Source organism: Homo sapiens, chromosome 8 (genome assembly GCF_000001405.40).
Source record: "Homo sapiens chromosome 8, GRCh38.p14 Primary Assembly".
NCBI lineage: Eukaryota > Metazoa > Chordata > Mammalia > Primates > Hominidae > Homo > Homo sapiens.
The window spans coordinates 47,944,704-47,960,920 of record NC_000008.11 but is presented as its reverse complement, the minus strand read 5'-3'; the positions used below and the strand labels follow the sequence as shown (position 1 = coordinate 47,960,920).

General features: G+C 45.8%; 1 protein-coding gene across 2 annotated transcripts in view, besides 10 other annotated features; it reads left to right on the top strand.

Moving 5' to 3' along the window:
- Positions 126–152: a protein binding site, noted in NCBI's record as "P-ETS probe". NCBI's record gives the evidence for it as "EXISTENCE:protein binding evidence [ECO:0000024][PMID:26365772]".
- Positions 126–152: a protein binding site, noted in NCBI's record as "P-ETS probe". NCBI's record gives the evidence for it as "EXISTENCE:protein binding evidence [ECO:0000024][PMID:26365772]".
- Positions 126–761: a biological region, named in NCBI's record as "origin of replication upstream of MCM4".
- Positions 133–669: an origin of replication, noted in NCBI's record as "UPR amplicon; peak of nascent starnd synthesis determined by quantitative PCR of size fractionated nascent DNA". NCBI's record gives the evidence for it as "EXISTENCE:fractionation evidence [ECO:0000100][PMID:11809796]".
- Positions 617–916: a silencer, noted in NCBI's record as "silent region_19177". NCBI's record gives its function as "represses an Ori minimal core promoter by ATAC-STARR-seq in GM12878 lymphoblastoid cells {active_cell/tissue: GM12878}" and the evidence as "EXISTENCE:reporter gene assay evidence [ECO:0000049][PMID:35858748]".
- Positions 735–761: a protein binding site, noted in NCBI's record as "D-ETS probe". NCBI's record gives the evidence for it as "EXISTENCE:protein binding evidence [ECO:0000024][PMID:26365772]".
- Positions 735–761: a protein binding site, noted in NCBI's record as "D-ETS probe". NCBI's record gives the evidence for it as "EXISTENCE:protein binding evidence [ECO:0000024][PMID:26365772]".
- PRKDC (protein kinase, DNA-activated, catalytic subunit) overlaps positions 785–16,217 on the top strand; it is a 187,026-nt gene continuing 171,593 nt past the window's right edge. For both annotated transcript variants that reach the window (NM_001081640.2, NM_006904.7), the window contains exons 1-7: positions 785–948; positions 3,490–3,566; positions 3,658–3,750; positions 4,973–5,047; positions 6,475–6,583; positions 7,002–7,114; positions 7,202–7,301. In NM_001081640.2, the coding sequence (NP_001075109.1) occupies positions 795–948; positions 3,490–3,566; positions 3,658–3,750; positions 4,973–5,047; positions 6,475–6,583; positions 7,002–7,114; positions 7,202–7,301 (721 nt within the window). In that variant the 5' untranslated portion in view covers positions 785–794. The remainder of the gene's footprint in view (positions 949–3,489; positions 3,567–3,657; positions 3,751–4,972; positions 5,048–6,474; positions 6,584–7,001; positions 7,115–7,201; positions 7,302–16,217) is intronic.
- Positions 927–976: a silencer, noted in NCBI's record as "silent region_19176". NCBI's record gives its function as "represses an Ori minimal core promoter by ATAC-STARR-seq in GM12878 lymphoblastoid cells {active_cell/tissue: GM12878}" and the evidence as "EXISTENCE:reporter gene assay evidence [ECO:0000049][PMID:35858748]".
- Positions 1,157–1,316: an enhancer, noted in NCBI's record as "active region_27331". NCBI's record gives its function as "activates an Ori minimal core promoter by ATAC-STARR-seq in GM12878 lymphoblastoid cells {active_cell/tissue: GM12878}" and the evidence as "EXISTENCE:reporter gene assay evidence [ECO:0000049][PMID:35858748]".
- Positions 5,577–6,078: an enhancer, noted in NCBI's record as "H3K4me1 hESC enhancer chr8:48867403-48867904 (GRCh37/hg19 assembly coordinates)". NCBI's record gives its function as "activates a minimal SCP1, AML or CMV promoter by ChIP-STARR-seq in primed H9 embryonic stem cells {active_cell/tissue: H9 hESC(primed)}" and the evidence as "EXISTENCE:reporter gene assay evidence [ECO:0000049][PMID:30033119]".

The following is a 16,217-nucleotide window of genomic DNA, read 5'->3' as shown; positions in this document are numbered from 1 at the left end:
GCGGCAAGGTCGTCTCCGCCCCTGGCGGGGCCTCACCAATCACAGCGGCGCTCGTACGTGGCTCCGCCTCCGGGAGGCGCCACTGCGCATCGGCAGGGGGGGACAGTGCCGCTTCTTTCAGCGCCCGTGCGTAAACCAGAAGTAGGCCTCGCTCGGCCCCCCTTGGTCCAGATGGTCTGACCCCCTGCGCGGCAGCGTTTTCGCGGGAAAACTGGGTCCTACAGCACCAGCTCTCGGGGTGTGTTCCTCTAGCGTTGGCTAGGGAGCGTGTGCTTCTTTATCCCTTAGGCGTTTTTGGTTAATAAGGACATTACAGATGCATTTCTCACTTAAAGATTTTTTTTATTAAAAAAAATTAAGGACGGGAGGTGGTGGGGATGGTCTCATTATGTTGCCCAGACTGGTCTCGAACTCCTGCGATCCCCCCGCCTCAGCTTCCTAAAGTGTTGGGACTGCAGGCGGGCATCACCGCCCCCGACCGCGTTTGTCGTTTTTTATCGAGGAACAAACTTGGAACTCTTGACCTAGGCCCCTCGCTTGTTTTATCTGCCTCTGGTATTTATTTAGCCAAGTCCAACACCAAGTAGCCACCCAAACTACCTCCGCAGGTCAGACGTTTTTCCTTAGGTTTCCATGTTGATTCGGGCCAAAGAGGCGCGCTTACTGGCCAGGCCTTCCCGCAGGGGTCCCCGGGAAAGTTCCTGCCGCCGCGCCCCGCAGCCCCGCCTCCGCGCGTAGGGGCATTTCCGGGTCCGGGCCGAGCGGGCGCACGCGCGGGAGCGGGACTCGGCGGCATGGCGGGCTCCGGAGCCGGTGTGCGTTGCTCCCTGCTGCGGCTGCAGGAGACCTTGTCCGCTGCGGACCGCTGCGGTGCTGCCCTGGCCGGTCATCAACTGATCCGCGGCCTGGGGCAGGAATGCGTCCTGAGCAGCAGCCCCGCGGTGCTGGGTGGGTACCGGCCCGAGCTGGGCCGCGGGTGGGTCCTGGCTTCCCGAGTCGTTCTGGAGCCGGGCAGCCCGGCGCTTCTCTGTGTTTAGATGACGGTATTTTGAAGTACAGCAATTAGATTCTTGGGGGAATTTCTGTGTATGTGTATAAAGGGATTTGTCATACTGCTTTTTACCCCCTAGTATTAGAGGAAAGATATTTTAAAGCCAAAGTTGGTGAAAACGACCCCTAATATGGCAATCATTGCTATGCAGAGTGGGGGGCAGGGCAAGAGAAATAATTTTTTTTTTTTTTGAGACGGAGTCTCGCTCTGTCGCCCAGGCTGGAGTGAAGTGGCGCGATCTCGGCTCACTGCAACCTCCGCCTCCCGGGTTCAAGCTATTCTCCTGCCTCAGCCCCCCGAGTAGCTGGGATTACAGGCGCGCGCCACCACGCCCGGCTAATTTTTTTGTATTTTTAGTAGAGATGGGGTTTCACCATGTTGGTCAGGCTGGTCTCGAACTCCTGACCTCGTGATCCCCCCGCCTCGGCCTCCCAAAGTGCTGGGATTACAGACGTGAGCCACCGGGCCCGGCCAAGAGAAAGTATTTTCTTTCACCTGAATCTCGCCTAATCCCACCAGTACCTTTTCCAAACCCCTCTATTTGCCGTTCCTACTTTGAGAAAAATTGAAGAAATGTAATTGAAGTCATGTTCTTTTAACTCTTTAGCAATGCCTGGGTGGGAACTTTTTCCCCTTTGTAGTAAAAGTGCCTCTTTTTAGCATTTTAAATATTCAAATACTTAATTATGTGGATCTCCTGTATTCCTTCTTTAAAACACGAGTATGCAGACCTTGATGTTGTGCCCTATTAAAAGGTGAGATTTTCTTCCGGAGGGTCTAGTAGTGAATATGGTGTAGGAATAACTTAAACAGTTTAAACTAGATGCTATATGTGGCACGGTGCGGTGGCTCATGCCTGTAATCCCAGCACTTTGGGAGGCTGTGGCAGCTGGATCACCTGAGGTCAGGAGATGGAGACCAACCTGACCAGTATGGTGAAACCTTGTCTCTACTAAAAATACAAAAATTAACTGGGCATGGTGGCGAGCGCCTGTAGTCCCAGCTATTCGGGAGGCTGAGACAGGAGAATGTCTTGAACCCAGGAGAAGGAGATTGCAGTGAGCCGAGATTGTGCCACTGCACTCCAGCCTGGGCAACAGAGCACGACTCCGTCCCAAAAAAAAAAAAAAAAAGATGCTATATACATGTATCCTATATGTACTCTATCTGTTGTCAAGAATATATTAACAATGGGGAAATATCAAACAAAAAACTAACATTGCGTGATTACTTTCTCTTCTCAGGGTTTCAAATTTAGAATTCATTTTTGTTCGTTTAGTAACTTGTTTCTAAAGCACTTCCAAGTTTACCTTCCATTTATGCCATATCTCCTTTCACTTGAGAGATTCCAGGGGAAGTGTATTAGTTCCTTATTGCTGCTGTAACAATTACCACAAGCTTAGTGGTTTAAAACAGCACAGGTCTGTTACTCTTACAGTTCCCACTGTAAGGGGGATTCTGTGAGTCAGAATCCCACACAGGTCTCACCAAGCTAGAACCAAAGTACCAGACAGGGCTGCTTTCTTTCTGAAGGCTCTTGGGGAGGATCCATTGCCTTATTCATTCAGGTTATATAGGATTGAGGTCCCTGACATTCCATACTTCTTGAAGCTGTCCCCTTTCCTTGGATCACAGCTCCCTTCCCTTGGTCTTCAAGGCCAGCAACAGCATGTCAAGTCCCCCTAACTAGAGGTTTGGAATCTCCCGCTTTCCCAACTTCCTGTCTCTCTGACCCACTCTTCTTCATCTCCTTACTTTAAGGGCCTGTGTGATTACATTGGGCTCTCTGGATAATCCAGTATGATCTTCCCATTTTAAGGTCAGCTGATTAGCTACCTTAATTCCATCTGCAAGCTCAATTTCCTTTTGCTATATACATTTAACATATTCACAAGATGTGACCCCAGGGATTGGGATGCAGGCATCTTTGGGGCCATTATTTTGCGTACTGCATCCCTGTGGAACATTGTCTAGAATTTTCTGCTTTGTTTTAATACAGCAACCTTGGGTTAGTGTTTTATATTTATAAGGCTGCCTTGAAAACCGTTGCAACCTTGGCCAGGCGCGGTGGCTCACGCCTGTAATCCCAGCACTTTGGGAGGCCGAGGCGGGCTGATCGTGAGGTCAGGAGATCGAGACCATCCTGGCTAACACGGTGAAACCCCGTCTCTACTAAAAATACAAAAAAAAAATTAGCCGGGCATGGTGGTGGGCACCTTTAGTCCCAGCTACTTGGGAGGCTGAGATAGGAGAATGGCGTGAACCCGGGAGGCGGAGGTTGCAGTGAGCCGAGATCGCGCCGCTGCACTCCAGCCTGGGCGACAGAGCGAGACTCCATCTCAAAAAAAATAATAAGAAAATCATTGCAACCCCTTTAGGAGTGGTTTACATGATGCTCTTGGCACTCTCTTAACTTGTTTACTTATTTTTTTGAACAGCATTACAGACATCTTTAGTTTTTTCCAGAGATTTCGGTTTGCTTGTATTTGTCCGGAAGTCACTCAACAGTATTGAAGTAAGTTGACAATTTTGGTTTTGCTTTTCTTGTATATTCCTGGAGTGACTCCTCTTACCCATATTTACAATATGTATCTCTTTCATTACAGTTTCGTGAATGTAGAGAAGAAATCCTAAAGTTTTTATGTATTTTCTTAGAAAAAATGGGCCAGAAGATCGCACCTTACTCTGTTGAAATTAAGGTAAGAATTAAAAAACATACCTTATTACATTATATATCAACATCTGTTTTAACTTATGGTGTGAGGAACTTGGATTTTTATTTTAAAGATAAAACATTTTCCTTTCTCATTGGGGAATTTGCTTATTTCTGCTTCATTGTGTTACAAATGAAGTGGGCTCTTCATTAGGTTTTTTTTTTTTTTTTTTTTTTTGGAGAAGGAGTTTTGCTCTTGTTGCCCATTAGTTATTTAGATTTAGTAAGCTAAGGCCTTTGTGAGAGAAACTACTTTGATAATTTTTTTTAATAACTATCTTAATACTTTTTTTTCCTGAGGAGGTGGCAGTGGCACCCTGGGCTCCCTGGGGCCCTGATGGCCTCTTGATAACTTCACTGCAGCCTGGGCGACAAGAGCAAAACTCCATCTCAAAAAATAATAATTTTTATTTTGTATTTTTTTATTTTTATTGTTTATTTGTTTTTATTTTGTGAGACAGGGTTTTGCTCTGTCATCCAGGCTGGAGTGCAGTGGTGCAATCATGGCTCACTGCAGCCTCCATCTCGTGGGCTCAGGTGATTCTCACACCTCAGCCTCCCAAGTTGCTGGGACCACAGGATGTGCCACTATGTCCAGCTAATTTTTGTATTTTTTTTTTTTTTTGTAGAGACAGGGTTTCGCCTTGTTGCCTAGGCTGGTCTTGAACTCCTGGGCTTAAGTGATCTTCCCGTCTCCGCCTCCCAAATTGCTTACAGGCACGAACCACACTGTAATCCTCAAAGGGATTACAGGCATGAACCACACTGTAATCCTCAAAGGGATTATAGGCGTGAACCACAGAGTCCCGTGAATACTTTCAGGCTGGAGTGCAGTGGCACAGTCTTGGCTCACTGCAACCTCCGTCTCCCGGGTTCAAGCGATTCTCCTCCCTCAGCCTCCTGAGTAGCTGGGATTACAGGCGTGCACCACCGTACCTGGCTAATTTTTATATTTTTAGTAGAGATAGGGTTTCACCATGCTGGCCAGGCTGGTCTCGAACTCCTGACCTCAGGTGATCGCCTACCTCCGCCTCCCAAAGTGTTGGGATTATAGGCATGAGCCACTATGCCCGGCCTAATGTTATATTTTCCACAGCTAAATACTGAATTTTGGTATTGCTCCTCTTGGAGAAGTAGTTTCAGGTATTGCTGAGTCTTAGTTTTTATATCTTATTGATGATTTTGGTTATTTTTTTTTTAAAACCTAGAACACTTGTACCAGTGTTTATACAAAAGATAGAGCTGCTAAATGTAAAATTCCAGCCCTGGACCTTCTTATTAAGGTAATTATGTTTCTAAGTACACGTATTTTACATTAAACATGTAACTTTTAAAAGAAAATCAGAGTTTTGAGTTGTGTTTTGGGTGATGTGTTTGGGGAAGGATAGGATCTAATCACATTGATGTGTGGGTAAGATGCACATTCTCCAACCATCACCTGACAATACCCTGGCTTTTTGTTTTCAGACTCTTCTGGGTAGTAAAAGAAGAATTCTGAGTTGTGAGGAGAATGAAGGAGGAAAATGACTAAGGAATTTATTGCTCTTTCATTTATCACCCTTACTGGCTTTGGCAAAACCTAATGCTATTAGGAATTGCTGAAAGATCACCTTATATCTCTGAGGTTTTTCCTAAAACCTTAGCAATGGGAAAGAGTTCATATGTTTTCTTTTTTTTTTTTTTTTTTTTTTTTTTGAGACGGAGTCTCGCTCTGTCGCCCAGGCTGGAGTGCAGTGGCGGGATCTCGGCTCACTGCAAGCTCCGCCTCCCGGGTTCACGCCATTCTCCTGCCTCAGCCTCCCAAGTAGCTGGGACTACAGGCGCCCGCCACTACGCCCGGCTAATTTTTTGTATTTTTAGTAGAGACGAGGTTTCACCGTTTTAGCCGGGATGGTCTCGATCTCCTGACCTCGTGATCCGCCCGCCTCGGCCTCCCAAAGTGCTGGGATTACAGGTGTGAGCCACCGCGCCCGGCCCATATGTTTTCTTTTCTTTCTTTTTTTGAGACAGAGTCTTGTTCTGTCATTCAGGCTGGAGTGCAGTGGCGCAATCTCGGCTCACTGCAACTTCTGTCTCCCAGGTTCAAGCGATTCTCCTGCCTCAGCCTCCTGAGTAGCTGGGATTACAGGCATGTGCCACCATGCCTGGCTAATTTTTGTATTTTTAGTAGAGACGGGGTTTTACTGTGTTGGTCACACTGGTCTCGAACTCCTGACCTCGTAATCCGCCTGCTTGGGCCTCCCAAAGTGCTAGGATTACAGGCGTGAGCCACTGTCTGGCGGGAATCAGTTGATACGTTGCAGTTAAGTGGTTGTTGGGGTCACTGTGACCTGTTTCTGTTTTTTTTGTATTTGTATTTTAGAATTCCTTTGTTTCTGGTTGCTCCTTGGTTTTGTAGGCTTCTGGGAGAAAGGTTCTAGTCATGTTGTTGGTTTCTTGGGAACGTAACACACCTAGAGCATTCTTCCCCTGATGTTCTTCCACCATACCCATCTCAACCTCTAATTCCCAGATAAGCTGGGTGGATGTGAATCCTGTGAGACCAAGTGTAAATCCTTGAGACACACCTAATTCTGAACCTTTGCTGTGGACAGATGCACTGAGATAGAGGAATCCCGTTATTTCCCTCTTTAGAGAGAATGCTAATTTGTATTGTGTTTTTTTTCTTGATTCCCGCACTACATTGATGTACTAATTTGTATTCTTTTAGTTACTTCAGACTTTTAGAAGTTCTAGACTCATGGATGAATTTAAAATTGGAGAATTATTTAGTAAATTCTATGGAGAACTTGCATTGAAAAAAAAAATACCAGATACAGGTGAGATGCATTTACATGTTATTTTCAAATAGTTTAGCAAATTAATATTAACAAATTATTAGCATAAGACTTAGGTTTTCTCTACCAAGGTCTTATTTTACAGTCGAATACTTTTTGCTGAAAATAAACCAAAATGGAACCAAACAAAAACAACATGTGAAGACTTCCCTTCACAAAAATGTTAATTTTTACAAAATTATTCCTGTAAATAGAAAACTCACAAGATATGACAAATATGATTAATACATTTGCATAAAACTTAGGAAAGAATGCAGTCCTAAAAGCTTTATATTTTATATCTCTTACTGTAAAATCAATTTTGAACTTTATTTTATTTTATTTTCTTCATACATTTTGGTTAGTTTAACTTATTTAAATGTAGTTTGAGGCCTTCACTTGTCTAAAATTTTCTTTTCAGTTTTAGAAAAAGTATATGAGCTCCTAGGATTATTGGGTGAAGTTCATCCTAGTGAGATGATAAATAATGCAGAAAACCTGTTCCGCGCTTTTCTGGGTGAACTTAAGACCCAGGTATGATGAACTTTATGACATTCTGCTTCCATAGATGTGGTTGTGTTTTTCTCTTGTAATGACATCTTCTTAAATCTTTTCTTTTAGATGACATCAGCAGTAAGAGAGCCCAAACTACCTGTTCTGGCAGGATGTCTGAAGGGGTTGTCCTCACTTCTGTGCAACTTCACTAAGTCCATGGAAGAAGGTATTGCTTGGCTTCACTTGATTTTCTTTATTCAAAAACTGTAAGTCTAACCAGCAATGCCTGATTATTTCTTTGAACTCTTAACCAATCCTGAATTTACATACAGTAGTGAGAAATAATCTAGAGGGACCTGTGGGCCCTCCCGAGTTCCCCTGATGATGACATCTTTCCCAACTACAGCACAACAGCAAGGTGGGCATTAACATTGATGTTGTCCACTGAGCTTTGTCAGATCTCACCAGTTTAACGTGCACACATTTGTGTATGTGTATTTAGTTCTGTGCAGTTGTTTAAAATTTTATTTATTTTTTTTGAGACAGAATCTTGCTCTGTCGCTCAGGCTGGAGTGCAGTGGTACTTTCTTGGCTCACTGCAACCTCTGCTTCCCAGGTTCAAGCAGTTCTTCACTTCAGCCTCCTGAATAGCTGGGACTATAGGCACGCACCACCACACCTGGCAAATTACTTTCTTTTTTTTTTTAAACAGAGTCTCGCTCCGTAGCCCAGGGTGGAGTGCAGTGGCTCGATCTCAGGTCACTGCAGCCTCTGCCTCCCTGGTTCAAGTGATTCTCCTGCCTCAGCCTCCCGAGTACCTGGGATTACAGGCACTCGCCACTAAATGGCAAATTTTTTTTGTATTTTTAGTAGAGATGGGGTTTCACCATGTTGGCCAGGCTGGTTTCGAACTCCTGACCTCAAATGATCTGCCTGCCTTGGCCTCCCAAAGTGCTGGGATTACAGGCATGAGCCACCGCACCCGGCCTAATTTTTGTATTTTTAGTAGAGATGGGGTTTCACCATGTTGGCCAGGCTGTTCTCAAACTCATGGGCTCTGGTGATCCGCCTGCCTCAACTTCCTAAAGTTCTGGGATTACAGGCATGAGCCATTGCACCTGGCCCTTTTTAATTCTTTTTTTTTCTTTTTATAATTGAGACAGGGTATCATTATGTTGCCCAGGCTGGTCTTGAACTCCTGGGCTCAAGTAATCTGTCCACCTTGATCTCCCAAAGTGCTGGGATTATAGGCATGAGCCACCACACCTAGCGAGTTTTGTGTAATTCTGTCACGTGTATGTACCATTGTAATCAAGGTATTGAACAGATTGATTAGCACAAGGGTCCCAATGTGCTACTGACTTAGAGCCATAGTTAATCTCTTCCCCCATCTTGGCCACCTGATAACCCTTCATCTGTCTCCATCTGTGGTTTCGTCATTTCAAAAAGTTACACAGATGAACTCATGGTATGTAGCTTTTCCTGTGTGGCTTATTTCACTTAGCATAGTGTCTTTCAGGTTTGTCCATATCCTGATATGTCAGCATTGTCTTTTTTTTTGAAGGCTGAATCATATTCCTGTGTGTATTTACTGCATTTTGTTGATTCATTCATCCGTATATGGGCACTTGGTTTGCCTCTACTTACTGGTTATTCTCAGTAGTATTGCCATGATCATTGTTGTACAGAAATCTGTTGGCAGTCCCTGCTGTTGATTCTTTTGGATATATACTTAGAATTGTGATTGTTGGGTTGTATGGTAACCTTAGTTTTAATTTTCTGAGAAATCGTCATACTGTTTTTCACAGTAGCTGCAGCATTTTACATTCCCACCAACAGTGCACAAGGGTTGCAGCTTCTCCACATCCTTACTAACTTGTCATTTTCTGTGTTTTTGGTAGCAGACATCCTAATGCCTAATGGTTGCGAAGGGATATCTCGTGGTTTTGATTTCCGTTTCCCTGATGATGAGTGACGTTGGTTGTGCATCTTTTCATGTACTCACCATTTGTGTGCCTTTAGAGAAATGTCTGTTCAGATCTTTTGCCCATTTTTTAGGTTAATTGGTTTGTTTGACTTTTTGTTGAGTTGTAGATATCATTTTCTTTCTTTCTTTCTTTCCTTTTTTTTTGGAGACAGGGTCTTGCTCTGTCACCCAGGCTGGAGAGCAGTGGCTCAAACATGGCTCACTGCACCCTCAACTTCTTGGGCTCAAGGGAACCTCCCACATTAGCCTCCCAAGTAGCTAGGACCACAGGTGTATACCTGATATTAAAAAATGTTTTGTAGAGACACGGTCTTGCCTTATTGCCCAGGCTGGTTTCAAGCTCTTGGGCTCAAGTGATCCTCCTGCCTTGGCTCCCCAGAGTACTAGGGTTGCAGGTGTGAGCCACTGTGCCTAGCCAGATACCAGTTTCTTAACAGATACATGATACATGAGTTGCAAATATTTTCTGTCTCCCTTTTTCTTTTCTTTTTTTTTTCTGAGACAGGGTCTCACTCTGTTGCCCAGGCTGGAGTGCAGTGATGCTAGCATGGCTCTCTGCCTGCCTCCACCTCCTGGGCTCAAGTGATCCTCCTACCTCCGCCTCCCAAGTAGCTGGGACCACAGGCATGTGCCACCACAGATGGGTAATTTTTGTACTTTTTGAAGAGACATGGTTTCCCCATGTTGCCCAGGCTGGTCTCCAACCAAGAGATCTGCCCACCTTGGCCTCCCAAAGTGCTGGGATTACAGGTGTGAGCCGCTGCACCTGGCCCTTCTCTCATTTTTTGAGTTGCCTTTTCACTGTGTTGATTATGTCCTTTGGTACACAAAAATCCCTTGTTTTGCTAAAGTTCAGTTTTTTTATTTTTTTTATTTTTTTAAGAGATGGGGTCTCCCCAGGCAAAAGTACAGTGGCTACTCACAGATGCAATCATGGCTCACTGCAGTCTTGAACTCCTGACTCAAGCAGTTCTCCCACCTCAGCATCAAAAATAGCTGAGACTATAGGCACCACCATGCCTGGCTCCTTTTATATTTTGCAGAGATGGAGTCTCGCTGTGTTGCCCAGGCTGGTATTGAACTCCTCCCATCAAGTGACCCTCCCACCTCAGTCTCCAAAGCATTGGGATTATAGGCATGACCTGCCACGCCTGGCCAATGAAATTCTTTTCTTTTTTTGAAAGGACAAATATAACTTTTTATCCTGAAATAATCTTTTTTTTTTTTTTTTTTCCGGAGTCTTGCTCTGTCGCCCAGGCTGGAGTGCAGTGGCATGATCTTGGCTCACTGCAAGCTCCCCCTTCCGGGTTCACGCCATTCTCCCGCCTAAGCCTCCCGAGTAGCTGGGACTACAGGCACCCGCCACCACGCCCAGCTAATTTTGTTTTTGTATTTTTAGCAGAGACGGGGTTTCACCGTGTTAGCCAGGATGGTCTCATTCTCCTCACCTCGTGATCTGCCCGGCTCGGCCTCCCAAAGTGCTGGGATTACAGGTGTGAACCACTGTGCCTGGCCGATCCTAAAATAATCTTAAGGGGAGGGAAAAAGCTCCTTTGCTCTTCCTTATCACTTTTTTTTTTTTTTTTGAGACAGAGTTTCACTCTTGTCACCCAGCCTGGAGTGCAATGGCGCGATCTTGGCTCACTGCAACCTCTGCCTCCTGGGTTCAAGCCTTTCTCTTGCCTCAGCCTCCCGAGTAGCTGGGATTACAGGCGTGTGCCACCATGCTCAGCGGATTTTTGTATTTTTAGTAAAGATGGGGTTTCACCATGTTGGCCAGGCTGGTCTCCAACTCCTGACCTCAGGTGATCCACCTGCCTCGGCCTCCCAAAGTGCTGGGATTACAAGGCATGAGCCACCACCCCTGGCCTCCTTATCACTTTATCTTCAAGTAATTACCAAATGTTTGGACCTACTTTGTTTTTCTTCCATTAGGTTGAAACTTACAAAATTACTTATATCCAATGATTTTTTTTTAACCTATGTAGGCAGCAGTTTCATTTTAAGCTAATGTTTCTACCCATGCCTTCTTCCTTGCTTATCAAGATTGTTAGAGTAGCCCTGTGTAATTTTCCTTCGTGTCTTCTCTCTCCTCTCTCCTGTATCCTATGGCTCCCACTTCCTCAGCTTCTTTTCAACTGTCACCCCTCTTAGGAAGCATTTATGATTCCCCTGAGGTGAGCACTTCCTCTGGCCTCTGTACTCCCCTCTGTGACAGCACTTACGGTCATATTTTAAGTTTGTTAGGTCATATGTTTAATTCTCTCCTTTGACCCTGTTGGCAGGTGATGTTGCTTATTTGTCTTTATGTTTACTTGGCTTATAAATCAGCACTCAGTGAACATATATAGTGGAAGGAAAATAGTAGCACTTAGTGCTCATTTATTGTGTGTTAAGGACTATTCTAGACGTGTTGCAAGGCAAGTTCCTGTAATGACTCTTCATGGCAGGTAAAATGTCTCTGTTGTATAGATTAGTAAACTGCCACTCAGACAGGTTAAGTAACTTGCCCCAAGTTACACAGTGACTTGCGTGGTTAGGAGAATAATGGCCACCAGGGTGTCCCATCCTAATCCCTGTTATGCTTCATGGCATAGCGGAATTAAGGTTGCTAATCAGCTGACCTTGAACTGAAGAGATGATCCTGGATCATCCCCATGGGCTTGGTGTGATCACAGGGTCCTTAAATGTGGAAGAGGGAGGCACAGAGGAGGTCAGAGGAAGGGGATCTGGAAGGCGGCAGGAGCCAAGGCATGGGGGTGCCTCTGGAGGCTGGAGAAGTGAGAAAAGGGTTCTCCCCTAGAGCCTCTTGGAAGGAGCACAGCCCTGCTGATGCCTTAAATTTAGCTCAATATGAGAATCATTTCAGACTTCTCACCTTTAGAATTATAGGTAATAAATCTGTATTGTTTTAAACTATTAAGTTTGTGGTAAGTTGTTATGGCAACACTAGGAAACTAATATAGCTAACAAATGGCAAGTCTGGGATTTAAGCCTTGGTCTGAGGCTAAAATTTATACTTTTTTTGTGATGCCATGATCATGTGACTTCAAGCACTAAATACTAATTCATGGGTACATATATATAAGGCACCCAGGGCCGGGCGCGGTGGCTCACGCCTGTAATCCCAGCACTTTGGGAGGCTGAGGTGGGCGGATCACCTGAGGCTGGGAGTTCGAGACCAGCCTGACCAACATGGAGAAACCCCGTCTCTACTAAAAAATACAAAAAATTAGCTGGGCGTGGTGGCGCATGCCTGTAATCCCAGCTACTCAGGAGGCTGAGGCAGGAGAATCACTTGAACCTGGGAGGCGGAGGTTGCAGTGAGCTGAGATCGCGCCATTGCACTCCAGCCTGGGCGACAAGAACAAAACTCTGTCTCAAAAAAAAAAAAAAAACAAGGCACCCAGGAAATACAGACTGTATGAATGACTTATAAAAATAATTGTAAGGCCAGGCAAGGTGGCTCCCGCCTGTAATCCCAGCACTTTGGGAGGCTGAGGTGGGCAGATCACAAGGTCAAGAGATCGAGACCATCCTGGCCAACGTGGTGAAATCCCGTCTCTACTAAAAATACAAAAATTAGCTGGGCATGGTGGCACATGCCTGTAATCTTGAACCTGGGAGGCAGAGGCTGCAGTGACCCGAGATCGCGCCACTGCCCTCCAGCCTGGCAACAGAGCAAGACTCCATCTCAAAAAAAATTTTTATATATATACATATATATAAACGCGTGTGTGTGTGTGTGTGTGTGTGTGTGCAAATATATTTTTTTTGAGACAGGGTCTCACTTTGTTATCCAGGCTGTAGTGCAGTGCTGTGATATGGGCTCACTGCATCCTCAACCTCCTGGGCTCAAATGATGCTCCCACCGTGGTCCTCCCCAAGTAGCTGGGGACTATAGGTGCATGCCACCATGTCCTGCTAATTTTTATTTTATTTTTCTTTTTGAGACTTGAGTCTTGCCCTGTCACCTAGACTGGAGTGCAGTGGCGCGATCTTGGCTCACTGTAACCTCTGCCTCCCACGTTCAAGTGATTCTTGTGCCTGAGCCTCCCAAGTAGCTGGGATTATAGGTGCGCAATGCCATGTCCAGCTAATTTTTGTGTTTTTAGTAGAGACGGGGTTTCACCATGTTGCCCAGGCTGGTCTTGAACTCCTGGGCTCAAGCAATCCACCTGCCTTGGCCTCCAAAGTGCCGGGATTACAGGCATAAGCCACTGTACCCGGCCCCAACTAATTTTTGTATTTTTTGTAGAGATGGGGTTTCACCATGTCGGTCAGGCTTGTCTTGAACTCCTGAGCTGAAGCAATCCACCCGCCTTACCCTCCCAAAGGTGCTCAGATTACAGGCTTGAGGCACTGTGCCTGGCCATGGGTGCCATCTATCTAAAGAGTGATGAACTTGGTGTTAAACCAGTAATTGAAATCACCAAGTTCCTACCATCATGAGCTCAGTCTAGTGGAGGAGACAGATGAACAAATAAAGCAGCTCTGCTGATTTTGGGGTTCAGCAGTGCCCAGAGGTGGGGTGTAGTGAAGAGGAATGCCAGAATTTGGAGAGGTGGAGCACACGACCCACGGGTACTTTCTGAGGATGTAACGCAGAAGTCGTGATCAGAAGGAGGAGAGGGAGACAGCTGGGGAAGTGCTGGGAAGAGCAGTCATTCCAGGCAGCAGCTGCTCAGCACCTGGCCCCATGCTCGGCCAGTCTCTAGCCCTGTGCTTAGCCTGCGTGCAGTGGTCCGAGGGTCCACAAGAGCTGGTGTGTCAAGAGTGTGGAGGTACACAAAGTGGGCCAGGGTGAGATGGGAAGGACGCAGGGTTGGTGTTTGACAGTTTTCTGAGCTGGGATCTCATTCCAGATGGAATGGGAGCCAGAGCTTTTCAAAAAGGAGTGGATGTGGGCCAAGAGATGTTTCACAGGGGTCTGCCTGACTGCTGTTGGGTGTGGGATGTGAGTTAGTGTAGGATTGAGAGACTGTGAGTGAGGGACTGAGGGCTGTGCAGTGACTCCTAAGCTGAATGGGATGGGAGAGACCGGGTTTTTTGTAGAAACCTGGCCTTTTGTGTTGGATATATTTAACTAGAGACACTTAGGAAGCATCCAGGCTTAGATATCAGGTGTGCAGTTGTGCGTGTAACAGGGGATCTTGCAGCAGAAATCAGACTTCAGGCTATACATTTGGAGGTCTTCATCACGTAGGTAGTATTTAAAGTTAGGAGTGTGAGCAAGATGAGGAGGGGGTGAGAGTGCAGAGACCAGGCGGAGGGTCTCAAGAGAGTGCTGAGGAGGCAGTGCAGGGCTGCCTCGCATCCGGTGGAGTTTGGGGAGGAGGAGGAACTGGCAGTAAGTGGTGGGTTCAGCTCCACGAGAACCACATCCATTGAACATTGGAGAAATGGGACCTCTAGAGTGAAGAGCGGGAGGAAGTGGAGGCCATTTGTAGAAAACATGCTAGACAAATCTTGTAATGGAAGAGAGTAAAGAAATGGGCTGTGGCTGATGGGAGATGTGGGGGTAAGAGAGGGGTTTTTTTTTGAGGCAGAGTCTTGTTGGAGTGCAGTGGCACGATCTTGGCTCACTGCAGCCTCTGCCTCCCGAGTTCAAGCAATTCTCATGCCTCAGCCTACCAAGTAGCTGGGATTACCGGTATGCGCCACCACACCCAGCTAATTTTTCCTATTTTTAGTAGAGACGGGGTTTCACTGTGTTGGCCAGGCTGGTCTCAAACTCCTGACCTCAGGTGATCTGCCCACCTTGGCCTCCCAAAGTGCTGGGATTACAGGTGTGAGCCACTGCACCTGGCCAAGAGGGGGTTTAAAAAGTAGAAGTAGGCCGGGCGTGGTGGCTCACACCTGTAATCCCGGCACTTTGGGAGGCTGAGGCAGGTGTATCATGAGGTCAGGAGTTCAAGACCAGCTTGGCCAAGATAGTGAAACCCCATCTCTACTAAAAATACAAAACAATTAGCCGGGCGTGGTGGCAGGCGCCTGTAATCCCAGCTACTCGGGAGGCTGAGACAGGAGAATAGCTTGAACCCAGGAAGTGGAGGTTGTGGTGAGCTGAGATCGTGCCACTGCACTCCAGCCTGGGTGATAGAGTGAAACTCGGTGTCAAAAAAAAAGGATAGAATTTTCACACCTATGTTCCTAGCAGCAAGTCCATAGTGAGCCAAAGGGCCAGAACCACCCAAGTGTTCATCCAGGGATGAATGGATAAGCAAAATATGGCACGTAGACACAATGGAACATTACTTAGACTTAAAAAGGCAGGAAAGTCTGACACATGCTGCAGCATGGATGAACCTTGCAGACAGGATGCTAAGTGGAATAAGCCAGCCACGAAAGGCAAACAATGTGTGGTTTCACTCACACGAGGTACTTAGAGTAGTCAGATTCACAGAGACAAAGTAAAATAGAGGTTACTGGGGCTGGGGGAGGGGAAATGGGAGTTAGTGTTTGATGGGCACCCTTCTGTTATTGATGGTGAAAACATTTTGGGTATAGACAATAGTGATGGTTACACAACAGTGTGAATATGTTTAGTGCCAACGAATTGTATCTGTACACATTGTTTAAATGATAAATATGTCTGTTTTACCACATTGAAAAAAACAGATACAAGACCATGCTTCTACAGGGAGTGGGCCACTAGAGGGAGGGGCTGCAGGAGAGTGGACTGTGGAGGGCAGAGCCTGGAGAAGTCTGTCCTTGCTAAGTCCCCACCCTAAACCCACTGTGTACTGTGGGTGTCCTTGTGTCTGCACACTTGCGTTTATTAACATGACTATTTTCTATCTGAATGACCTTTTCCCCAACTAGTACCTATTCTTTCAGTCTTAGAACAAATGCTACCATATCTGGAAAGCCTTTATAGAATACTCATAGTCAGAAGAAATCTGCTTGTCATGAATTCCAAAGTAGCTTTTTTTGTATCTCATTTATGCCACCATTCTGCAACCATACAGATGTTTCTCTGCTTTAAGGCCTCTCTGACCACATTCTCTCTCCACCTCCTATCACATCATCATCAGGGCTCTGTCTCAAATATGTCAGTCCTTGCAATGAAAAGCAAACAGTTCTTGAGTCTCTGCTGATTACAAGTCACTGTTAGAAGGGTAGAGAAATTAGTGATGAATAAAGCATGACTCT